Here is a 26,906-nt window from a genome sequence, read left to right on the forward strand (position 1 = left end):
TTGCTCTGTCGTCCAGGCTAGATAGAGTGCAGTGGCGCTATCTCGGCTCACTGCGACCTCTGCCTCCCCGGGTTCAGGCAATTCTCTTGCCTCAGCCTCCCAAGTAGCTGAGATTACAGGCGCCCGCCACCGCACCCATCTAATTTTTGTATTTTTAGTAGAGACGGGGTTTCACCATCTTGGCCAGGCTGGTCTCGAACTCCTGACCTCATGATTCACCTGCCTCAGCCCTGCAAAGTGCTGGGATTACAGGCGTGAGCCACCGCGCCCGGCCTAAGAGAAGTAACTTTGGAAGAGTCAGGCAGGAATGTGGGGAGTTGTGGCTTTTGCATTTTATCTTACACTCTCTTCTGTATTGTTTTTTAAAACCATGAATTTTTATTACTTTTTAAATTAGAAAACAAAAAATAATTAACAGAAAATATGCCAGCCTTAATAATATAATCTCCAGACTTTATTTTCTTTTTAATAAGTTATGTGCTGAGGTCATCTTTGGTAGAAAGGAATCTGAACAGAAGGACATGACCAGTTGGGCACATTCCCAGAAAAAAGAAATATTTTTGCTTTTTAGATGGCACGACTGTGTAACTGTACATCCAGTAGCTGGAACAGACCTTATCACCTCCAGAAAGACTTTTCAGATGCTACCAAGCAAAACTCCTTTCTCTTTCCTCAAGACTCCTAAAGTATTTTGTTGGCCTATCCAGCCAGGAGTCATCCCACAATATCTCTCAAATTACTTATGTATGTAACCCTCTCTCCCACTAAAATGAAGAATCTCTTATTCATCATGCATATGGTAGGCCCTGAATAAATCGTGAATCAACTCAATTGAGGCACAAACGTAACTTTTCTGATGAGATTGCCACAATACATCTAAAATTTATTCATCTAGCCAATGATGGGCAAAAATAAATAAAAATTTTTAAAAAATAAAATTTATTCACTCTTTAAAACAAAATTTTAAAAGTTACCTGGCGTGATCCACGTTATGTGCATTTTTCTTCACTTTAGTGGGAGAATCAATTTTTACTCCAAGGCTTCTTAGTTGCTTAAGAGTTGCATTAAGGACACAATCTTTGTCCACCAGTCTTGAATGATGTGTTTTTTTCTTTGTATGGTAAACGTTTTGGGTTCTGGTGCATTCATGACTGATAATTACTGCTTTGGTAGACGGCTGCTCAGTTTCCTTGGAGGAACTATTTAATAGGTGGTTTACTTGACCCTGACAAAAAGAAAAAAAATTTTTTTGAAAAATCACTATTAACAATGTTAGGGCTGGGTGTGGTGGTTCACACCTATAATCCCAGCACTTTGGGAAGCCAAGGCAGGAAGATCGCTTGAGCCCAGGAGTTTAAGACCCTGGGCAACACAGCGAGATCCTGTCTCTACAAAAAACTAAAAATTAGCTGGGCACGGTGGCACACGCCTGTAGTTCCAGCTACTTAGGAGGCTGAAGTAGGAGGACCACTTGAGCCACGAGGCTGAGGCTGCAGTTAGCCGTGATTGTGCCACTATATCCTGCGTGACAAAGTGAGACTCTGTCTCTAAAAAAATTAAAATTAAAAAAAAGTTAAAAAACAATTTTACAGTAAGACCTTAATGATACAACAAGGCCAGGGAAAATCAGTATCTTGTCAAATTCCACAAAGTATCAAGTAGGCAGGTATTATGGTATTATTTGCAGGTATTATGAAGTTTTTATAGAAGCACATCCTAATGAACAATTTCATCAGACCCTAGAGAAAACAGAATGCTTGTTCAGACTTCATTCACTTAAAAACCAACATAAGCTGGGCGTGGTGGCTCACACCTGTAATCCCAGCACTTTGGGAGGCCAAGGTGGGCGGATCACTTTAGGTCAGGAGTTCAAGACCAGCCTAGCCAACATGGTGAAACCCTGTCTCTAATAAAAATACAAAAATTAGCCGGGTGTGGTGGCACGTACCTGTGGTCCCGGCTATTTGGGAGGCTGAGGCATGAGAATCACTTGAACCCAGAAGGCCCAGGTTGCAGAGAGCTGAGATGGCGCCACTGTACTCCAGCCTGGGTGACAGAGTGAGACTCTGTCTAAAAAAAATAAATAAATAAAATAGAAAATAAACAAATAAAAATAAAAACCAACGTATTTAAAAATCATTTGAGTACAGGCGTGTGGCTCAAACCTGTAATCCCAGCACTTTGGGAGGCCAAGGCGGGCAGATCACTTGAGGCCAGGAGTTCAAGACCAGCCTGGCTAACATGGTGAAACCCCATCTCTGCTAAAAATACAAAAATTAGCCGGGTGTGGTGGCGTGCACCTGTGGTCCCAGCTACTTGAAAGGCTGATGCAGGAGAATCACTTGAACCTGGGAGGCAGAAGCTGCAGTAAGCTGAGATCATGTCACTGCATTCCAGCCTGGGCAACAGAAACACAGTGAGACTCTGTCTCAAAAAAAAAAAAAAAAATTAGCCAGGCATGGTGGCAGGTGCCTGTAGTCCCAGCTACTTGGAAGGCTGAGGCACAAGAATCGCTTGAACCTGGGAGGCAGAGGTTACAGTGAGCTGAGATCATGTCACTGCACTCTAGCCTGGGTGACAGAGACTCTGTCTCAAAAAAAAAAAAAAAAATCTTTTGAGTAATTCTCCAAGTATTTTCGAGGACTTATGCTAAATTTTTTATAAACAAGTTTTAAATAATGCTTTCGTTTGCAAAGTGATAATGTTTCAGTTATAAATTAGGCCTTTATGATGTTCACAGAGTTAGGCTCCTTTTCTTCTCACTTTCTCAAAGTAAGAATGACCTGTGATACTATTTCTGCATATTTCATTCCCTGAGCATACAAGCTGCTAGCACCAGCCTAGGACCTAGCAAGCAAATAACAAATATGTGTTCATTGATGAATACATAGGGCCCTGTGAAGTATGTTGCCTTCTCGCAAATGGACAAATCAAATGTTCTACAATTTGGATGAAAGTGACAGTCAGGGTTTCTCTATCCTTTAAGTCCCAGATCACATTTTAAGTTTTATAATACTAGTTCCTCCAACCAGAATTACCCCTTTATTCTGTGTTCTCTTTGCTTTACACTACTACTCCTCAACAGCCTGTCTTATAATTGTTACTAGTCTGCATGTGCTGTTGTTTCCCCTAGGCTCTCAAGGGCACAGAGTGTCATATTCACCTTTATATTATCGATTTCACTTAGCCTACTGTCTTAGACTAAGCTAAGTATTTAATAAACATTGGCTTACCTGAACTAAAATCAGTAAATGTTATCATAAATATCCCACTACTTTCCAATTTTCAAATTTCCGAGAAACTCTTGCTTATTTTCTAATACTAATTTTGGTTTGAATTAGGCATAATATCAATATTTATACTTTAAAAATAAAGCTGTGTTTTTCTAAGTACTTAAGTATGTTTATGGTAAATTAGTGAATTTAAGTTATAATTTATGAAAAGCTAAAAGAAAAATTACATTGTTAATTAGACAAAAAATCTTTTTATCTTAAGGTCTCAATCAGTTTAAACCTAGGAAAAGCTTAACTAGTATATCCTATACTAAATAACCTTCTCAAAAAGATGAAATGCTCTACATTTTCTTACCAATAAATCCTGGTAAATTTTCTGGTTATCTGATGGTTGATGAAGCAAGGGTTGCATTACATGCTCAATTTTTGGTTCCTCTGATGTTTCAGAATTGTTACTGGCACCCCCTGTTGGTCCAGTCTGTAAACACATGCTTACACTTTCTGCCAGCTGGCCACTTGGAAAGAACACAGGTACATCAGGTTCTTTTCTCACAACTAGAGAAGAGCTGCTGGGAAGGATATATAATGTGTTAGTCATTGAGGTACCTTTAACATATAATTGAAATGTAGTAACTTTAGAAAAAAGGGTTAAGACTCAAGCAGCACCTGGTTGTATTTTTAGCTCTTAGTGATGATGCTACATAAACACCCCATCTTAGCCAGGTGCAGTGGCTCATGCCTGTAATCTGTGTTTTGGGAGAGCAAGGCAAGAGAAGTTTGAGGTAAGAAGTTCAAGATCAGACTGGGGAATATATCGAGACCCCATCTCCACAAAAAATTTGTTTTAATTAGCTGGGTGTGACACCATGCACCTGTAATCCTAGCTGCTCAGGAGGCTGAGCAAGAGGATCACTTAGCCCAGGAATTCGAGGCTGCAGTGAGCTATGATTGTACCACTGCACTCAGCCTAGGCATCAGAGCAAGACCCTATTTCTATAAGAAACAAAAACGAAAACACCTCGTTTTAACAGGCTGCATATAAACTAAACCATGGTACCTTTTAACTTGTGTTACTTATATTTAAGACAACTTTCTTTGAAGCCTGGAAAACAAGCTGTTGATTTCTCCTGAACTTGATGGCAATGGAAATTTTTAGAGCATTTAAATATTTTAGGTATGTTATTTGTTCATTCCAAGTTTTTTTTTTTTTTTTTTTTTTTTTTGAGACAGAGTCTCACCATGTCACCCAGGCTGGAATGTAGTGGCGTCATCTCGGCTGACTGTAACCTCTGCCTTCTGGGTTCAAGCGATTCTCCTGCCTCAGCCTCCTGAGTAGCTGGGATTACAGGCATGCACCACCATGCTCAGCTAGTTTCTGTATTTTTAGTAGAGATGGGGTTTCACCATGTTGGCCAGGCTGGTCTCGAACTCCTGACCTCAGGTGATCTGCCTGCCTCAGCCTCCCCAAGTGCTGGGATTACAGGCGTGAGCCACTGCACCTGGCCTCAAGGATTTAAAAATATCTGTCTTGGTGTCTAACCTAGGAAGCAAAAACTAAAACTGAAAAAGAACAAACCCAAATCATTAAAGATTACAAGGGTCCTTAATAAAATAACACCAAGAGCTAGATAGCTCCTTTCACCACGTGAGGACACAAGGAAGAGGCATCAACTATGAACCAGGAAATGGGTCCTCACAAAACATTACATCTGCTGGCGCCTCAATCTTGGAGTTTCCAGTCCTCAGAACAATGAGAAACAAATTTCTGTTGTTTATAAGCCAAAATAAATAAATAAATGTCTACACTCTTTAGGGGGAAGAAAAAGGAATAAATAAAAATGTCAAATCTCAACAAAAGATTTAAGATTAAATAAAAAATTTTAAAATGCTTCTAATATGCCAAGTATTATTAGGTATGCCCAAAGCACAGCTTCTAAAGAAAAATATGGATCATTTTAAAAGAAAGTCTCTATAAATACTACATACCACTACTCACTGCTGGGAAAAAGTAATCAATAACCAATGAAGCTGCAAGGCAAATAAATTTATCTTTCACAGACTACTTCAACATCAGAAACACTGGTCCAACAAGACATCTAAGGGGGACTGGAAGCCCTGGAGTTGCGTGTCATCTATGAATACTCAGCAGTGGGAACCAGAGCACGAATCAGACCAAAAGTGCGAGAAGGATCCCAGAGAAGCACCAAAACCATCATAGACAACACTGGAGAAAGTATTTAATCCAAATCAACAACCCAAATCAATGCTGAGCAAAGATTAGATTTACATCTAGTTATGTGTTGGGATCGACAGAGTTAATTAATTGCTCTGAAAAAGCAATTAACTTCATTCTATCAATTAACTCAGATCTGTTTCTAAAGTTAAAAAAAAAAAAAAAAAGCCAAAACAAGGGCATGGTGGCTCACATCTTTAATCCCAGCACTTTGGGAGGCCGAGACAAGCAGATCACTTGAGGTCAGGAGTTCGAGACCAGCCTGGCCAACACGGTGAAACACCGTCTTCACTAAAAATACAAAAATTAGCTGGGTGTGGTGGCGTACACTTGTAATCCCAGCTACTTGAGAGGCTGAGGCAGAAGGATCTCCGGAACCCAGGAGGTGGAGGTTGCAGTGAACCAAGATCACACCACTGCACTCCAGCCTGAGCAACAGAGCAACACTCCATCTCCCAAAAAAAAAAAAAAAAAAAAAAACACAAGATTGGATATTTTTTAAAATTCCAATCTGAAAACCCCCATTATTCTAGAAAGTAGTCTGCAGTTTACAGAGTTAAGGAGAATAAATAAAGATCCCATGGTTTGCTCCTCTTTGTCCTCAGTTTCTATAATTATTCTAAATAAACTGCAGACCTACTTTGGGGCTCACCCCATGGGGAACCAGACACTGGGTCAAACTGTAGTTTTTTTTAATTACTTTTTTTGAAACAGAGTTGGCCGGGCATGGTGACTCACACCTGTAATCCCAGCACTTTGGGAGGCTGAGGCGGGCAGATCATCTGAGGTCAGGAGTTGGAGACCAGCCTGGCCAACATGGAGAAACCCCGTCTCTACTAAAAATACAAAACTTAGCCGGGCATAGTGGCAAGTGCCTGTAATCCTAGCTACTTGGCAGGCTGAGGCAGGAGAACTGCTTGTACCCGGGAGGCGGAGGGTGCAGTGAGCTGAGCTGAGATTGCGCCACTGCACTCCAACCTGGATGACAGAGCAAGACTGTCTCAAAAAAAAAAAAAAAAAAAAAAAGAAACAGTCTCTCTCTGTCACCCAGGCTGGAGTGCAGTGGCGTGATCACAGCTCACTGCAGACTCAACTTCCCAGGCTCCAGCAATCCTCCCACCTTAGCCTCCCGAACAGCTGGGACCAAGGGCTAATTTCTGTAATTTTGGTAGAGACAGGGTTTCGCCATGTTACCCAGGCTGGTCTCAAATACCTTAGCACAAGCAATCGGTTCACTTTGGCCTCCCAAAGTGCTAAGATTACAGGCATGAGCCACCAAGCCCAGCAAATTCTAAAAATATGGAAATTACTATGATCCTTACCCTGCAGGAACTCAATCTAACATACACAAAAGAGCTTTTCTGTATACTGTGGCACACACAATGAGTGCTTAATTTTATCATATGATTAAAACATATACTATACTAAAAGGAGATGTTTCTCTGTAGTTTTCTGAAGGGACATGTTTATTGTCTTAACCATTATTGTAATCACAATGATTTAAAATGTCAAATATCACAAGGCTTATTAATTTCTAAAAAGTAATCCACTGCCTGCCCCATGTCACCTTACCAGTTCACCTTTTTTTATTTTTAGAAATGGAGTCTCACTCTGTTATTGAAGCCAGAGTACAATGGCACTTATCATAGATCACTGCAACCTCAAACTTCTGGTCTCAAGCGATCCTCCTGTTTCAGCCTCCTGAGTAGGTGGAACTACTACAGGCACATACCACCACACCCAGCTAAGTTAAAATATTTTTTTATAGAGACAGGGTCTCACTATTTTGCCTAGCCTGGTCTTGAATTTCAAATTAACCTCTTTAAACTGTTTCATGTGCTATTATCCTGGGATGTTTTATACCTACATTTTTCTTTTACCTTCAAAATTTATCCTACACCTGATCCCTTCCACGAATTCCACAAGTCCAAGACATCTTCATCTCACTTGGTCTTTAGTTTATTAATCAGTTAGTATCTTAACTTCCACTCTTAACATCCTTCAGTTCTCCACGAAACAATTAGAATGGTCTTCAAAAAATGAAAATCAGATCATAACACTCCATTATCTAAAATCCTCCACTAGCTTTAATGAGCATGCAATAAATTAAAAAATCTTTTCTATATCCTACAAAGCCCCATATAACTTGGCTCCTGCCTGTATCTCAGACTTCATTTCCTATACTCTCCCTCTCAATCACTATGTCCAGCCACACTGGCTTTCATGCTTTTTTCTGTAACTTTTAAACCCACACTTGCCATTACACTTGCTTTTTCCTCCACTTGGAATACTCATCCCCAGATATTATCATGACTGGCTCCTTCTCATCATTCAGGTCACTACTCAAATGTCACCCCCTCACAGAGATGGTTTCCTTTACCACTCTACTTAATATAACACCTTGTTCCCAGGTTACCATCCCAGTTACACTCCACTTGATCACTCTAGTTTACTTTTTCAGAGCAGTTGTCACTATCTGAAACTATGTTATTTGCTGCTCATGTGGTTAAATTCCATAAAGTTAGGAGCTTTGCCTAACCTAGTATTTGATATTTAGTGTCTAGTTTTGTGGTAGCACGTACCAGAAACTCAAATATTTGCTGAGTTTGTTTCCAAATTTGCTGAGGATATAAATTACTTTAGGCCAGGTGCAGTGGCTCATACCAGTAATCCCAACAATTTGAAAGGCCGAGGCAGGTGGCTAACCTGAGGTCAGGAGTTCAAGACCACCCTGGCTAACATGGCAAAACCCTGTCTCTACTAAAAACACAAAAATTAGCCAGGTGTGGTGGCCCGTGCCTGTAGTCCCAGCTACTTGGGAGGCTGAGGTTGCAGTGAGCCAAGATCACGCCACCGTACTCCAGCCAGGGCGACAGAGCGAGTATCTAAAAAAAAAAAAAAAAAAAAAAATTTACTTTAGAATCCGTTTTTTGTTTTGTTTTGTTTTGAGACTTAGTCTTGCTCTGTCACCCAGGCTGGAATGCAGTGGCGCAATCTCGGCTCACTGCAACCTCCACCTCCCAGGTTCAGGCAATTCTCCTGCCTCAGCCTCCCAAGTACCTGGGACTACATGTGTGCACCACCGTGCCCAGTTACAGGTAAGAGTCACTGAGCCTAGCCTACGATCCTTATTTAATGGAAAATTTCATAATGAAAAATTTCAAACATGAGAGAATTATTTTACAAATCACCATATACAATCAGTTTCAAAAATTACCAAATAGCCAATCTTATTTCATTTATACTCCTAGCCATTTCATTCTCCCACAGAATTAATTTGAAGCAAATCTCAGATAACATTTCATATATAAATATTAAGGTTCTATCACTCAAAAATAGACTCTTTTATATATAATGGCAATACGGAGAATCTTTAGAAATCTCGCCATCTCACAGTGGCTCATGCCTATAATCCCAGCACTTTGGAAGGCTGAGGCAGGCGGATCACCTCAGGTGAGGAGTTCCAGATCAGCCTGGCCAACATGGGAAGCCCCATCTCTACTAAAAATACAAAAATTAGCTGGGCGTGGTGGCGCACGCCTGTAATCCCAGCTGCTTGGGAGGCTGAGGCTCAAGAATGCCTTGAACCTGGGAGGCAGAGGTTGCAGTGAGCCAAGACAGTGCCATTGCACTCCAGCCTGGGTGAAAAAGCGAGACTCTTGTCTCAAAAAATAAATACATAAAATAAAATAGGCTGGGCACAGTGGCTCATGCCTGTAATTCCAGCACTTTAGGAGGTCAAGGTGGGTGGATCACCTGAGGTCAGGAGTTCACGACCAGCCTGGCCAACACGGCGAAACCCCATCTCTAAAAAAAATACAAACAAAATTAGCCCAGCATGGTGGCAGGTGTCTGTAATCCCAGCTACTCAGGAGGCTGAGGCAGGAGAATCACTTGAACCCAGGAGGCAGGGATTGCAGTGAGTCAAGATCGCACCATTGCACTCTAGACTGAGCAACAAGAGAGAAACTCCATCTCATAAATAAATAAATAAATAAATAAATAAATAAATTAAATAAAAGAAATTTCTCCGCCAGGTGTGGTGGCTCACGCCTGTAATCCCAGCACTTTGGGAGGCCGAGGCAGGCAGATCACGAGGTCAGGAGATCGAGGCCATCCTGGCTAACATGGTGAAACCCCATCTCTACTAAAAATACAAACACGGAATTAGCCGGGCATGGTGGCAGGAGCCTGTAGTCCCAGCTACACGGGAGGCAGGAGAATGGCGTGAACCCGGGAGGTGGAGATTGCAGTGAGCCGAGATTGCACCACTGCACTCCAGCCTGGGCAACAGAGCGGGACTCCGTCAAAAAAAAAAAAAAAAAAATTTCTCCATCTGTATCTGGAACCTAATATTATCAGATCCTCTAGGGTGAGGCCTGAGCTTGTGTATTTTTGAAGTTTTCTTCCGATTTCTGATTCATCCAGACTGTTAATATAGCCAAAGACTGACATCTGGAAATGGTTCTAGAAGGCTCAGAGTTGTCAGTTACATAGAAATCATATCAAGTAAAGACATAAAAGAAAATACCAGTTAGAAAATATATCATTTCTGAGTTAGAAGACTTTAAAGAAATTAGAATTAAAAACAAAAAAAAACCTGAACAGAACAGCAACTGTAATGAATAATAATACATTGTATATTTCAAAATTGCTAATAGTAGACTTCAAATGTTTTTACCACAGAAAAAGTTAAGTATGTGAAGTGATAGATTTGTTGGTCTGATTTAATCATTCCATACTGTAAACATGCATCTAAACATTGTGCCCCACAAATATATACAATTATTATTTGTCTATCAAAAAAAATTTTTTTTGAAAGTAGGATGAAAGACTAAATCAAAGAGACCTTACTTGGATACAGAAAGTGGCTGGTTAAATTCTTCTTCCACAGCAATGTTGCTCTCTTCAAAACTGGGAATATCAACTGCTTTTAATGAAGATGCACTACCTGGAAGACTTGTGACTTCATTATTAATATCGACAGAAAAATTCATGTCCTCACTGGAAATTTTGGTATCATCTTGCTTCATTTGAGAGTCAGGCTCTTGATCCTCACCTGCTGCATTCCAAAACAAGCTAGCACCTGGAGGTTAAATAATTTAAGATACTGAAACAAACATTCAACTTTAAAAATAATACTCTGCCAAACCTTTGTTAAGAATAGCCATATTGGCTGGGTGCAATGGCTCACGCCTATAATCCCAACACTTTGAGAGGCAGAGGCGGGAGGATCACTTGAGCTCAGGAGTTCGAGACCAGCCTGGGCAACATGGAGAAATCCTGTCTCTACAAAAAAAATACAAAAAAATTAGCCAGGTGTGGTGGTGTGCCTGTAGTCCCATCTACTCAGGAGGCAGAGGTGTAAGATCACTTGAGCCCAGGAGGTCGATGCTGCAATGAGCTGTGATTGTGCTACTGCATTCCAGCCTGGGCAACTCTGGCTCAAAAAAAAAAAAAAATATATATATATATACACACACACACACACACACACACACACACACACACACAATTACTTAGAACTAAGTTTTTAGATTATATTTCCTCAGAAATGCCAGGAAGAGGTAGGTGGAAGACAGAAAGACAAAACACTAGGGGACGGGTCGGGTGGAAGGGCACATTCTGGGTTCTGCTTTTTCAAGAAGGGTGGCTCTGAAATGATTTGCTTTACATATTAAGATTCTGAATATGATCCGTGGGATGGGGTGTGTATGTTGAAAACTGCTGCTCTGAATAATATGAGATAATATATAAAATACAAATCCCTAGGTTCTCTGGTTTTGACACTTAAATGCAATATTTAAAAGACTACATTGGTGATGCATCAGACATCTGTAATATCTGTAATATCAGGCAGGTATTAAAAAAAATCAAGTGTTTCCCAATCTTTTTTTTTTTTTTTTTTTTTTTTTAAGACAGGGTGTCACTTTGTTGCTCAGGCTGGAGTGCAGTGACACAATCACAGCTCACTGCAGCCTCAACGTCCCTGGGCTCAGGTGATCCTCCCACCTCAGCTTCCCGAGTAGCTGGGACTGCAGGTGTGCGCCACCATATGTGGCTAATTTTTGTATTTTTTTTAAAGATGGGGCTTCATCATTTTGACCAGGCTGGTCTCGAACTCCTAGCATCAGGCAATCCACCTGCCTTGACCTCCCAAAGTGCAAACATTATAGGCATGAGCCACTGCGCCCAGCCAATTTCTCAATCTTTATGAAGCACTTACACCTATCTTCAGAGCTATTTGCATGTAATATTGTTTACTTACTCTTTCTTTAAATTAACTCTTTTTTTACTGAGCCTCATTATTTCTCTAAAATCACAGATTTGATATGCTTATTGTATTTATACCTATGAGTATTGGAAAAGATATATTTACAAAATATAAATATTAATCTGTATAACACCCTAAATCATCTTTTGTACCACGAGCCATAGGCATTCTATAATTTGGGGAATATTGCTAATACATAATGGTTTAAACAGATGGTTAAAACCAAAAAGTAGCCTGGGCACAGTGGCTCATGCCTGTAATACAATCCCAGCCCTTTGGGAGGCTGAGGTGGGTGGATCATGCGGTCAGGAGTTGGAGACCAGCCTGACCAACATAGTGAAACCCCATCTCTACTAAAAATACAAAAATTAGCCAGGTGTGGTGGCAGGCGCTTGTAGTCCCAGCTACTCAGGAAAATCACTTGAACCCAGGAGGCGGAGGTTGCAGTGAGCCGAGACTATGCCATTGCACTCCAGCCTGTGTGACGGAGTGAGACTCCGTCTCAAAAAAAAAAAAAAAAAAAAGTAAATCATAGTCAAAATGGTTTCTACTCTGAGGATATACTTGGGTGATTTTATGAAAATAAATTAATACAAACAAGACTGGCTGGACGCGGTGGCTCACGCCTGTAATCCCAACACTTTGGGAGGCTGAGACAGGAGGATTGCTTGAACCTAGGATGGTGGAGGTTGCAGTGAGCTGAGAGTGCACCACACTGCACTCTAGCTTGGGCAACACAGCGAGACTCCATTTCAAAAAAAAAAACAAAAAACAAAAAAAAAACCAGAATTGGGTCCAGCCTAGAAAAGTAGCAAAATCAAACACTTTATCATGTTATGCAGTTTGCAGGTGTAGTTTTATTTCACAAAGACTAAAATCACACAAAAACTTAAGTCATACTCTCATCACCTTGGTTTTGGTCCTACTGCACCATGCACCAATTTGAACATAAAATTCAAAAACCAGATATGAAAAGCATTTTTAACAATTTCCTTACAAATTAAAAAAAAACTGAAATTACCTGTGCTCACAGCAATGCTTACACCTTTTCTCATGTGCAAGCCAGGGGAAGACTGTGCTTCCACAGAAACCAACTCCATTTGTCTTCCAGCTTGCACTGTGTCTTCAACAGCAGTTGTCTTAGGGGAACAGGGCATCAGAGACTGTGCTTCCAACAAACGCTGAATCTGTATCAATTAAAAACATACTTTAAACTGACAGGGAAGTAATCAACAAAACTGGCAGCAGTTTAATAATGAATTACAAAGCGCCCTAATTATAAGAAACTGACTTTTAAGTCTATTTTCTCAAATTTCAACTAGACCATACCATGAAACTTATTCAATATAGAAAGCCATTATCACTAGTTATTAAGAAGCACTTTAAGTATACTATTTTTTTTTTTTTTTGAGACAAGGTCTTGCTCTGTCACCCAGGCTGTCACCCAGCCGTGGTGCAATCATGGCTTATTGCAGCCTCAACCTCCTGGGCTCAATCGATCCTCCCACCTCAGCCTCCTGGGGTGGCTGGGATGACAGCCATGCACCACCATGCCTGGTTAATTTTCACATGTTTTGTAGAGATGGGGTTTTGCCATGTTGCCCAGGCTGTTCTCAAACTCCTGGGCTCAAGCAATCTGCCCACCTCAGCCTTTAAGTATACATTTAAAAGCAATACATAAAGGTGTTTAGCTTAGTATTCGTAAGTTGATACTCATGTAAAAAAGTGTGAATGGTTAATACTTCAAACTAACATTATATTCCTATTTCACTTATAAATCAAAAGTTAGATTGGAGGTATACTCTGACTCTCTGACTCCATATACCAAATACTGAACATATCACACAAGATTATTATAAAGGTAAATCAGAATTGCCCATGTTTGCCCATGTTGAAATTGGATATATTAATAACAATGGCTAACAGTTACTGAGCGCCTGTTGTTTGCAAGACCCTATTACTATAGGCTTTTATGTATAATTTTTACAGCAATCCTCTGAAGACTATATTACAATTAAACATTTTTTTTACAAGTAAGAAAACCTGCGGCAAGGAAAAAGTTAAGTTACTTGTATAGGACATATAACTAACAAGTAGCAAATCTGAAAGCTGAGGTTCAAACACCAAAAGCCTCCCCTCTTCCATTTTAAATTGAGATATAATTCATGTACCATGAAATTAGCTGCTTTAAAGTGTACAATTCAGTGGTTTTTGGTATACTCACAAAGTGTGCAATAATCACCACTATCTGATTCCAGAACATTTTCATCAAACCCCCAAAACTCTGTACCCATTAGCAGCCACACCCTATTGCCCTTCTCCGGAGCCCCTGACGGTCTAACATGATTTCTATCTCTGAATTTGCCTATTCTGGACATTTCATATAAACAGTACCATACTGTGGCCTTGTATCTGGCTTCTTTCACTTGGCATAATGTTTTGAAGGTTCAACCATGTTGCAGCATTTACTAATACTTTATTGCTTCTGATTGCTGAATAACATTCCCTTGTATGGATATATCACATTGTGCTTTTCCACTCATCAGCTGACAGACATTTAGGTTGTTTTCACTTTGGGCTATTAGGAATAATGCTACTTGGACATTTACATACAGCTTTTTGTGTGGACATATTTTTTTCACTTCTCTTGGGTATGTAACTAGGAGTGGAAGAGCCTCCCTTTGTAAACACTATGATTTTCTGCTTCTCTACAAATGGTACTACTGTGCTCAATATAATTTTAGTGGATTAACCTTATTAATATAGGAAAATAAGTATCATCAATCAATTATTAAGGTCAGTAGAAATATAAACTGCGCTAATAGTATAAAATGGCATGTGTATTTATAGTGGTTTGGAGTACAGCTTTGGTATCATGTGGCTATAAGTTTAAATCCTACCCTGCTACCTTTTGGAAAAGTTACTTAACCACTATGAGCTTCAATATCACCTAAAACTAAGGTTGTTAAAAGAGATAAATAAAACAGTTGTAATTTGTTGCGTACTTCCTCTAGCCAGGTCCCATACTAAGTAAGCACTTTACACACACACACACACTCATTTAATCTTTAAATCTACATATAATACTGATCATTTCTCCCATTTTATAGGTGAGAAAAGTGAAGTGTAGAGAAATCACATAGGAAATGTACAGTAAAAGACATTACACACACTCAGGTCCTAAAATTGATCACTCAGTGTTTTTAAAACATTAATCACTAGAATTCTATAGTGCATTTTAACATTTGAAACAGCTAATATTCTTTCTTTCTCAGAACTTTTCTTTTTTTTCTTTGAGACAGAGCCTCGCTCTGTCGCCCAGGCTGGAGTGCAGTGGCGTATCTCAGCTCACTGCAAGCTCCGCCTCCCGGGTCCACGCCATTCTCCTGCCTCAGCCTCCCGAGTAGCTGGGACTACGCCAGGCTAATTTTTTGTATTTTTTTTAGTAGAGACGGAGTTTCACTATGTTAGCCAGGATGGTCTCGATCTCTTGACCTCGTGATCCACCCACCTCAGCCTCCCAAAGTGCTGGGATTACAGGCGTGAGCCACCACACCCAGCCTCTTTCTCAGAACTTTTAGGGATCATTTGGCAGGACTTCAGTGTTATTTTTTAAAGTTCCTCTCCTCAAGCTGCATCTTCTCCATTAAAAAAAAAAAAGCCATTAAAGTTGGAATATTGAAATATAAAGCTGTGGGTGATTAAATCAAATGGTAACTAGTGGTGGGGGGCAGGCAGATATGTGGAGCAGACTATAGTTCAGAAATAGATGCAAACATATGATACTTTCATTATACAATAAAAAATGCATCTCTTGCTGGGTGCAGTGGCTCACACCTGAAATCCCAGCACTTTGGGAGGCCGAGGCAGGTGGATCACCTGAGGTCAGGAGTTCAAGACCAGCCTAGCCAACATGGTAAAACCCTGTCTCTACTAAAACCACAAAAATTAGCCGGGCATGGTGGCACACGGCTGCAATCCCAGCTACTCAGGTGATAAAGGCAGGAGAATCACTTGCACCTGGAAGGCAGAGGTTGCAGTGAGCTGAGCCAGTGCCCTCCAGCCTGGGTTACAGAGCAAGACTCTGTCTCATCAACAACAACAACAACAACAAAAAGCATCTCTAAATCATTCGTAAAAAGATATGTATTTATTAAATAAATATGTGAGTCCAGTCATCTGATTTAAAAAAAAAAACTTACTTAAATAAAAAAGAAGCAACAAATATAATCCTGAAGGGAGAGGGAGAATTTTTTAAAAAGATTTTTTTTTTGCTGGGCGCGGTGGCTCACTCCTGTAATCCCAGCACTTTGGGAGGCTGAGGCGGGCGGATCACAAGGTCAGGAGATCAAGACCATCCTGGCTAACATGGTAAAACCCCGTCTCTACTAAAAATACAAAAAATTAGCCCGGCTTGGTGGCCAACGCCTGTAGTCCCAGCTACTCAGGAGGCTGAGGCAGGAGAATGGTGTGAACCCGGGAGGCAGAGCTTGCAGTGAGCTGAGATCGCGCCACTGCACTCCAGCCTGGGTGACACAGTGAGACTCCATCTCAATAAATAAATAAATAAATAAGATTTTTTTTTTTTAAGACAGGATCTTACTCTGTCGCCTAGGCCAGAGTACAGTGGCACGGTCTTGGCTCACTGCAGCCTCAGCTTCCTAGGCTGAAGCAATCCTCCTGCTTCAGTCTCCCAAGGAGCTGGGATTACAGGTGCGCAACACTATGGCCAGTTATTTCTTTTTTATTTTTTGTAGAGATGGAGTCTCACTATGTTGCCCTGGCTGGTCTCATATTCCTGGGCTCAAGTGATCCAACCACCTTGGCCTCCCAAAATGCTGGGATTACAGGCATGAGCCAGTGGGCCCAGCCAAGAATAAATTTTTTATAATCTTGAAAGGAAGAAGGCTTTTCTAAACATAAAACCCAGAAAGAGAATGACTCATACTTTTTTTTTTTTCTTTTTGAGACAGAGTCTAGCTCTGTCGCCCAGGCTGGAGTGCAGTGGTGTGATCTTGGCTCACTGCAATTTCCGCCTCTGAGGTTCAAGCGATTCTCATGCCTCAGCCTCCTAAGTAGCGGGATTACAGGCGCCCACTACCACGCCCAGGTAATTTTTGTATTTTTAGTAGAGACGGGATTTCACCATGTTGGCCAGGCTGGTCTCAAACTCCTGACCTCAGGTGATCCAGCCGCCTAGGTCTCCCAAAGTGCTGGGACTACAGGTGTGAGCCACCGCACCTGGTCTACATTATTTAACTGTATCTAAACTGGAATATTCTGTACAAAACAAATGGTTAAAATGCAAAACACTTAAGACTAACTGTAAGAAATACCACACGCATATGCATATACATATACATATATATATATATGAATGATAAAGGACCAATTTCCTTCATATACAATGAGCTCTTATAAATAATAATCAATTACATATGTTAATATAATGTAAATTAAAACAACTTCTAGGCCAGGCATGGTGGCTCACACCTGTAATCCTAGCACTCTGGGAGGCCGAGGCAGGTGGATCACCTGAGGTCAGGAGTTCGAGATCAGCCTGGCCAACATGGTGAAACCCCTGTCTCTACTAAAAATACAAAAATTAACCAGGTGTGGTGGTGGGTGCCTATAATCCCAGCTACTTGGGAAGCTGAGGCAGGAGAATTGCTTCAACCCCGGGGGGCAGATAGAGGTTGCAGTGAGCCCAGATCATGCCATTTCACTCTAGCCTGGGTGAAAGAGTAAAACTCTGCCTAAAAAAAAAAAAAAAAAAAAAAAAAAACCATCTTCTAAGACTGGTAATAATTTAAGTTTGCCTAATGTTGGACATGTAGATGTGGAAAAATGGTTTGGGGATACTAAATTGGTATAATCTGGCATCATTCATCTCATCTAGAAAAATAAATAAATAAATAGATATAGCCTTTCCAGCAGCCATTTTCACTCATTCAAGTAACAAACTATGTATTAAGCAACGATTACACATCAAGTACTATTCAAGGTGCTAAGAAAACAGTGATGAATGTGAGCTCCTTCCCTGGAGCTTTCTATCACAAATAGAACAAAAAAACGTGATTAAGGGCCTGAATGATGAGAAGGAAATAGCCATTAGAAGGGTCCAAGGAGGAATATTTCAGGCAAAGGGAACCAAAAGCTGAAGAACCTAAAGTATAAACATGTTTTGGCATTTTTAAAGTACAAAAAGTTAAAGAAAAAAGCACTACAGCTGAAGTGTAGTGAACACAGAAGACAGTGATAAGAGATGAGTTTGCAGAGAAAGACAAGCCAAGTCATAAAGGGCTTTAAGGGCCAAGGTAAAGCATTTGGATTTTATTCTAATTGCAATGGAAATCCACTGGAGGATTTTAAGCAAGAGTGCTACAATCTGACCTGGGCTTTAAAGATGGTGTGGGGAAAACAAACAAACAACGACGGTATGGTGTTTCCAAGTATAGGAAACATGAGGGGATAGTACTGGATGGAAGTGGTATGTAAGGGTGTCATCAGTGGTTTGAATTAGGTTGGTAGCAGGAAAGATAGTAAAGAGTAGTTAAGTTCAGTATATATCTACAAAGCAGAGCCTGGGTTTGTGACTCCTGAGAATTTTGCCTGAGTGACGAGATGAGAGGTGATACCATTAACTAAGATAATAATAGTGAAATAATAGTAATAGTTAACATATACTGAGCACTAACTATATGTCAGCAATATTCTACACCTTTATCTAGTAACTCATTCAGATCCTTAGAACTCCATACAACTTTGCCATACATGTGAACAACTGAAAAAAAAATTAAAACAAAAAACAAAAGAACTCCATACAACTTATGTATATCCCTATTTTGTATGTGAGAAAACTGAAGTCAATGAGGTAAGGTAACTTGTCCATGATCTTGTAACCTACAGTACCCACAAACTAGATCAGAATCCAAGGAGTCTGGTACCACAGCCCACTCTCTTAACCCTTACACCAAAATGAGATTTGCAATACTAGAACAGGAACAAATTTGGGTATCTTTGAACATTTAAAATGTTTATTCCATTTGGCTTCACAGTTTTACTTCTAGGAATCTATAGTATAGAGATACTTGCACATAGGTAGTAAGATGCAAATATAGGAATGTTCACTGCTGCATTGTTTGCAATAGCAGAAGCTTTAAATGGTTGAAATAATCAATAGGAGAACAATTAGAAAATTTGTTGTCTATCATTATGATAGAAACCCATGCAGGGTAAGGGAGTTCTATATATACTTATATAAAAAATGTATAAGATACTTTTTAAAAAGTGGTACCTAAAAATTTAAGTTCATATATATATAAGGAAAATACTATATGTATTTACACACAGAAGCATTTTTTTGTATATTTCATATTTTCTAAATATAATGATTCAGATAGTCTAGACCACGGCCTGTGATCTATAATATTATATTTTAAGTATACAAATTCCAAGTAACTAAGATTTCTAAATAGTATAATGGGTCCTTTTAGCCTCTAATTAGTCTTCTTTAGAACAAGACAGGAAATAAGTGAGAAATAATTATTTTCAATGTAAAAATATTTAGGTATATTCAAATTTTTGCTAAGTGTTTATAATGTTAAAATCCAATTTATATTTTACATTATGTGGGAGTGGTGACTCACACCTATAATCCCAGCACTCTGGGAGGTCAAAGCAGAAAGATCACTTGAGCTGAGGAGTTCAAGACCAGTCTGGGCAATATAGGAAGACCTTTTCTCTAAAAAAAAAAGTAAAAATTTTAAAAAAAACTATACTTTACAATTTCAAAGAATTTACCTAGGTTTAAAAAAACAGCAGAGCTAAATTTTTCTCAGGTGTTCCTATCCAAAGCGTTTTCACTGATTTGAAAAATGTCATTGTCTTTTTTCTGATAAAATGCAAACACTATAACTCCAATTTTATAAAACAAAGATTTTTTAAAAAATCATATGTATGGCCGGGCGCGGAGGCTCACGCCTGTAATCCCAACACTTTGGGAGGCCGAGGTGGGAGGATCACAAGGTCAGGAGATCGAGACCATCCTGGCTAACATAGTGAAACTCCGTCTCTACTAAAAAAATACAAAAAATTAGCCGGGCATAGTCCCAGCTACTCCGGCGGCTGAGGCAGGAGAATGGCGTGAACCCGGGAGGCGGAGCTTGCAGTGAGCCGAGATCGTGGCACTGCACTCCAGCCTGGGCGACAGAGAAATACTCCGTCTCAAAAAAAAAAAAAAAAAATCATACGTATATATGCACATTACACATATATTTGCATAGTTATAGGATCATGAAAAATATTTAAAACTACATTTCAGGTTGTTCCCATTGGTGCTGGGGAGAAAGAGAGGAACACTGTTTTGGGGTAGGTATGTGGAGGAAGGACGTCAGTGAGGAAAGAAGAAAAAAGACAACACTTACACACTAAACACTGCGCAAGGATATAATTAAGACAAAGAACTCCGTCGAGACTATGCTGGCCAACATGGCGAAACCCCGTCTCTACTAAAAATACAAAAACTAGCCAGGCATGGTGGCGCGTGCCTGTAATCCCAGCTCCTAGCAGGGCTGAGGCAGGAAGATCACTTGAACTTGGGAGGCGGAGGTTGCAGTGAGCCAAGATCATGCCCCTGCACTCCAGCCTGCGCAACAGAAGAGACTCCGTCTCAAAAAAAAAAAAAAAAAACAACAAAAAACTAAGAACTCTGCAACAGAGGTTCTGAAAAAAGGGAACATTTCAGAAAACAAGAAGTAGAATAAGTCCAGTATAGATATGCAGAAAGGCTCTAACTATATAGATAGGCATTATATAGGGCTGACAAACTAGAGATGAAGTATAAGCCACTGTCCAGACTTTATATTTAGCTGTATATAAAGGCTTAGTTAATTATAACAGACTTTTCATTAGAGGCAAAAAATAAAAATACAATTCTATTGTAGGTTAGGATATGCATAAGATGGTTCTACTACTAACTAGCAACGTGGCATTGGGTTAAATTATTCTCTCTAATCCTCATTTTACTTACCTGTAAAACAAGAGGGCCTAGAATTCAGTTTCCAAGGTCCCTCCTAATTCTGACATTCTATACTTCTATAAAACATCATTACTGAGGAGAGGTGCCAGTTTTTAAGAAATCTTAATACCAAGAAATTAATAGAACTAGGAAAGCACCAAGCAAACCTGTGCCTGAAGTAGTCTTAGCTGTCTGTCTTGTTCTGTGAGGAACCGATATGCATCTGGAGATAGTCCCATCATTCCATTATCTGACTCAGTCTTGGGTGTGTGCATGCACACTGTGCAAGGCTGTGGGTTACATAAGTCCATATGTGAAGGCGGTCTTGCCACAGGCGATGGTTCAATATTGCTGTGGGGAGAACAACTGCCCATATCTCCCTGAGGTCTCAAGGCTATAGGACTACTTGAAGAACAGAATGCATTACAGTACAGGGCTGGACATCCACTTGGGTGAAATAATGAATGCTTTTGAAGGGCTTCAGACTGGACATCTTGAATGGATCCAACTGTGTTTGCTCCTTGCCAAGAATTTAGCGGACTATATTGAATATGACTATGATGCTGACAACACCTGCAAACGTTTGTGGAACAGTAAGATGGCAGTGGGGGAGTAGGTATCTGAAGTTCCATTGGTCTTCCTGAATTATGGGGTGAAAAAACAAAATCGTGTGGTTGGGACTGCGGGGCAAGAGAAGACTGCCTAGAATTAAGTGTGGAGGGTCTTATAGGATACTCTTCGTTTTGTACATTTCCAGCAGAAACTGTTTGGAGCTTTTCAAATATATCATGAGATGGCCCATTATGAGAAGATGGTTTAATACTGTTCCTGGTATGGGGGTTCCCTTTCTTATAGGCAGGTGGCTGTCTTACTTTGCAGTGTCTCAAAAGAGCTGGTTTATCCTGGTTTAACTGATTTGGTATTCCTCTCAAGGAAGGCTCTCCAGCTTCAACTTCTGGACTGTGTTTCTCATCATAAAGCTGGGGTTGCAATGGCTTCAAGTGTTCCAAGTGGTTAATCAAAGGAGGATTTTCATTATTCACCATTTCCAATGGAGTAGGCAGAGGGTTTGATTCTATGAAATTGCCATCCAACACAAGTGAAAGTTCAGGAACTGATGGTTGGATCTTAGAAATCTACAAATAAGAAAGAAATAGAAAAAAAAAGTATTTTTTTGGAGAAACTGTATACTTTACTTTCCTCAGACCAGTATTTCCCAAATTATATCTAATTACATATTAACAAGTGTTCATTCTTTATTTAGACCATCAGTTAATTTTTTCTGGGCATGTTTTATGTGCTAAGCACTAGGAATGCAATTGTAAGCTAAATAAACAAGGTCCTTGCCCTAAAAGAATAAAACTAAACACTTCCCAAACTTATTTAATAATGGAACTCTTTTTATTAAAACACTAACACTGCTAAGATCACAGAACACAATATGAGAAACTGTTTTATATAACTTTTTAAATCCTCTCTGCAAAAAATAAAATTGTCACAAGCAGAATGTTTTCACAGATCTAGTAGCAAATGTTTATGTACCTTAAATAGTAAAATCTTCCAATAAATGTTTCAAAATATTTCTCCACTAAGAAGTCACTCACTGTTATTCCTTCTATTGATATCAACTAAGAGGTGGAAAGCAAAAAAGAGTAAACAAAATACTCGCTGTGATGAATTTGGTTATAATTTGATATTAGCTTTAAAAAATCCTTCCCATTCCTTTTTCTTCTAAAATAAGAATTAAACAATTCTAAAATGACCCACAGGTTGGTAGCAATAAAAAAATTATGACAAGAATTTTAGCAATTAACCTCTGAAAGCAAGTATAATGTTTTCTCAGAATATAGTGATAAAAACCAATGTCAAGCTCTAGTGATAGTATATAATGTTGAGTCTATATGGTTATTAAAAGTACCAGATTCTAAAACCAAACCTCCTGAAATAGAATCCCAGCTTTACTACTTACTAGTTGTGTGTCTTGGGTAGGTAACTTAACCAATCTATGTCTCAGTTTACTCTAGGAATAACCATACATGCTTATTACATAGATATTACACATATGTATATATCATTACATATAATATGAATTATTATATATAACTGTGAAATACTTATATCTCTATATATAGATATAACCATAGAGATAGAAATAGCTAGATATATCTAAGAATGATACTTAGGTTTCAGGTAGTATTATTTAGTGTTTTAACCATGAAGAGACTTAGGTCTCTAACCACAAAAGTGAATGCATTTTAAAATCAGTGATACCTTCTGACTCACTGGATGAGGACTAGGAATTGGTCTTGGAGAAAAATCTTCATCTTCAACACCAGAGTCGTGATCATGTATTGGCATCTTCCCAGAAGATAACTTTTGGGAAGACCTAAAGAATAGAAGGGGAGACCAGAAAAGCCTTTGGTAATCCAGTGTTTTCTTTCTTCTAGAAATTGAATAAAGTCCTTTAATAAGTTGCAGTAGTACTCAGATCATTTAATTTAGTATCTGACAACCACAAATTATTTTATTTTTCAGGCCAGTGTTAGTTGACCAGGGAAGCTGGACCAGCCAGCCTTAATAAACTACCCTATTTACCTGATGATAGCAAGTTTAACCTTGTATTGTTAATGTCACAATAAATCAAGTCACTGGGCACCCTCTAGTTGATCACTTCGATAAATATAGAAACAAGTAAGACTTAGTACTTGCTGTCAAAAAATTTATAATCTAGTATTAAAGGTTATTAAACACACTATATTACAAACCCTCTGTATTAAAAAGGAAAACCAAATAAGGAATTATATTTTCCTATGTACTTATATCTATGATGGGAAAATACTTTGAAAAATCAAAGTACTACCCTCCCATTTAGTCAGGAATACTCATTGTATCACAGATGGCATGCCCAGCAAAACAGAAAATTTCTGAGTGCTGGTACCAAGTTTTAAAAGCTGAAATTAGTGTTTAAGACTAAAGATTTGGAATACTATATGCATCAGGCTTTTTTACATCCTACACTAGACAAAGTCTCAATAGGATGCATTAGGGAAAAGAAAAGCCAGAATGAAAGCTAACAGCGCTCAGGATTAATGGGATCCCTAAAAAAGCACCCTGCATTCTGTTTCATGCAAGTTGAATCCTCCCTAGCAGGAAGAACAAAAGAAACTCCAAGGCAGGTTTGAAAATCAAACAGCAGAAGAGACCTTTTGCCCTAAACCCTGATTGTCTGAAGAGGTAGACCTTCACAGAGTTCTTTCTGTACAAGGTATTACAATGAAGCAATCAGAATGTCTGCATGATTATGTTTAAGCAGAAATGGGTCTTCAGTCCCACAAAGCTCTTCTCCAACACCCAAGGCAGCTTGAGATACATAATGATATTCCAAAGCGCTCAGTGCAGCATGGACAGGAAACAAGAGAGCCAGTGGCCTGAACAGGGTCAAAAGTTGCAGCAGGAACTTGCACAAATCTGACAAAGACCAGATGCAAATGAAAACACCTCAGCAGATTGTAGCACAGATGGATGAGAATCACGTCACCCCATATCACCAGTACTGGCATACCATTAGTCCCCTCTACATTACATATAACCCCAGAGAAAAGGGAATAAAGAAACCTTGAATTAGGTGAAATTTGGTGTCTATAATTCAGTAGAACAAATAGGGGCTTAAAATAGATATTAAGTTCAATTACTAACTTTTTTAAGTTACATTCTTTTGTATACCTGAGTTGTGGCATGGAATTAATATCTGTTTTGTACTTAAGATGAATATACACACAAAACCGTTGACACTGAGCAATAAAACCCATTTCTTAGCTTTTTTTTTTGCGGGGGGGTGGGGGGTGGATAGAGTCTCCCTCTGTCGCCCAGGCTGGAGTACAGTAGCATGACTTCAGTTCACAGCAACCTCCGCCTCCAAGGTTCAAGTGATTCTTGAGCCTCAGCGTCCGAGGAGCTCAGACTACAGGCATGTGCCAGCACGCCCAGCTAATTTTTATATTTTTAGTAGACACAGGGTTTCACCATGTTGGTCAGGCTGGTCTTGAACTCCTGACCTCAGGTGATCCACCCACCTCTGCCTCCCGAAGCACTGGGATTACAAGTGTGAGCCACTGTGCCTGGCCTCATTTCTTAGCTTTTTTAGTACCCAAGGGAAAAAAGGAAAAACTTCAGGTTGTATAGTTATAACAACAGTACTTTAGGAGAGACAAACATTTTGATAACATTTAAAATGACTGTTCCTCATTAAAGCTTAGGCCAGAATGGAAAATAAACAAGGTTTTTTAACATCACTTTTTTTGAAGCCGGGTTTCACTCTATTACTTAGGCTAGAGTGCAGTTGGCATAGCATGATCATGGCTCCCCAACTCGACTTCTTGGGCCCAAGTGATCCTCCTACCTCAGCCTTCTGAGTAGCTTTTAATAACAATCTTAAAGAAATTGCTATTGTCTCCTTAGTTTGGCTATTTCTTCCATAAATATTCAATAAAATGTTGAATAAGGTCTTAAAATTTAAGACAGTAAAGATGTTCCTGGCTGGGTGAGGTGACACAAGCCTGTAATCCCAGCACTTTGGGAGGCCAAGGTGGGTGGATCATTTGAGGTCAGGAGTTCGAGGCCAGCCTGGCCAACATGGTGAAACCCCATCTCTACTAAAAATACAAAAATTAGCCGGGCGTGGTGATGCACACCTGTAATCCCAGCTACTTGGGAGGCTGAAGCAGGAGAATTCCTTGAACCTGCGAAGTGGAGGTTGCAGTGAGCTGAGATCACACCACTGTACTCCAGCCTGGGTGACAGAGTGAGACCCTATCTCAAAAAAAAAAAAAGATAAAGACTGACTTCCTGGAGGGAAAAGGAATTCTGCCAGCAGGCTGCCTTTGGACTCAAATTGCAATTCTTCCCTGGGTGTCCAGCCTACCAGCCTACCTGTAGACATTTTTTGTCTTTTTTTTTTTTTTTTTCTTTGAGACAGGGTCTCATTTTATCACCCAGGCTGCAGTGCAGTGCCACGAACATGGCTCACTGAAGCCTTGACCTCCTGGGCAAGTGATCCTCCCACCTCAGCCCTGCAAGTAGCTGGGACTATAGGCATGTGCCACCACAACCAGCTAAATTCTGTACTTCTTTTCTGTTTTTGTAGAGGCAGGGTTTCGCCACATTGCCCAGGCTGGTCTCGAACTCCTGAGCTCAAGCAATCCTCCCGCCTCAGCCTTCCAAAGTACTGGAATTAAAGGGATGAGCCACTGTGCTCAGCCTCTACCTGTAGACTTTGGATTTGCCAAACCTTCACAAACACAGAAGCCAATTCCTTAAAACAAATATCTCTACATACACACATCTTGTTGTTTCTGTTAATCTGGAGAACCCTAATACAAGATAATATCTTTTTTATTTTTTTTGAGATGGAGTCTCACTGTATCACCCAGGATGGAGTGTAGTGGCATGATCTCGGCTCACTACAACCTGTGCCTCTTGGGTTCAAGTGATTCTCTTGCTTCAGCCTCCTGAGTAGCTGGGATTACAGGCATGCACCACCAGGCCCGGCTAATTCTTGTATTTTTAGTAAAGACGGGGTTTCACCACGTTGGCCAGGCTGGTCTCCAAGTCCCGAGACTCAGGTGATCTGCCTGCTTCTGCCTCCCAAAGTGCTGGGATTACAGGCGTGAGCCACCGGGCCTGGCCGAGAATATCTTCTTTACCACAAAAGGTAGAATATGCTGACCCAAGAAGTCACAAGACTTTATTTAATTAATATTCTTCAAGTGTGTTTTAGAAGTTTTAAAACAATTTTTTTTTTTTAGGTAGGAGTTTGTTTTGAGACAGGGTCTTACTCTGTTGCCCAGGCTGAAGTGCAGTGGCGCAATCTCAGCTCACTGCAACCTCTGCCTCCCGGGTTCAAGCGATTCTCCCACTTCAGCGTACCGAGTAGCTGGGATTACAGGCACGCTCCAGTGCGTCCGGCTAATTTTTGTATTTTTAGTTGAGACGGGGTTTCACCATGTTGGCCAGGCTGGTCTCAAACTCCTGACCTCAACTGATCCGCCCGCCTCAGCCTCCCAAAGTGCTAGGATTACAGGCGTGAGCCACTGCACCCAGCAAGAGATGCATTTTTTATTGTATAATGAAAGTATCATATGTTTGCAT

General features: G+C 40.0%; 1 protein-coding gene across 54 annotated transcripts in view; it reads right to left on the minus strand.

The window, feature by feature from the left end:
• Nucleotides 1–26,906, minus strand: part of STIL (STIL centriolar assembly protein) — a 64,758-nt gene that overhangs the window by 9,176 nt on the left and 28,676 nt on the right. For 16 of the 54 annotated variants that reach the window (NM_001377417.1, XM_047428312.1, XM_047428368.1 and 13 more), the window contains 6 exons: nt 23,031–23,145; nt 20,927–21,895; nt 12,762–12,927; nt 10,321–10,552; nt 3,589–3,802; nt 975–1,225 (listed from right to left, as the gene is read on the minus strand). In NM_001377417.1, coding sequence (NP_001364346.1) covers nt 975–1,225; nt 3,589–3,802; nt 10,321–10,552; nt 12,762–12,927; nt 20,927–21,895; nt 23,031–23,145 — 1,947 coding nt within the window. Of the gene's footprint in view, nt 1–974; nt 1,226–1,948; nt 2,071–3,588; nt 3,803–7,221; nt 7,497–10,320; nt 10,553–12,761; nt 12,928–20,926; nt 21,896–23,030; nt 23,146–26,906 lie in introns of those variants that run through there. The other 38 variants (XM_017002123.1, NM_003035.2, XM_047428385.1 and 35 more) reach the window with 7 other exon arrangements.

This window comes from Homo sapiens, chromosome 1 (genome assembly GCF_000001405.40).
Source record: "Homo sapiens chromosome 1, GRCh38.p14 Primary Assembly".
Lineage (NCBI taxonomy): Eukaryota > Metazoa > Chordata > Mammalia > Primates > Hominidae > Homo > Homo sapiens.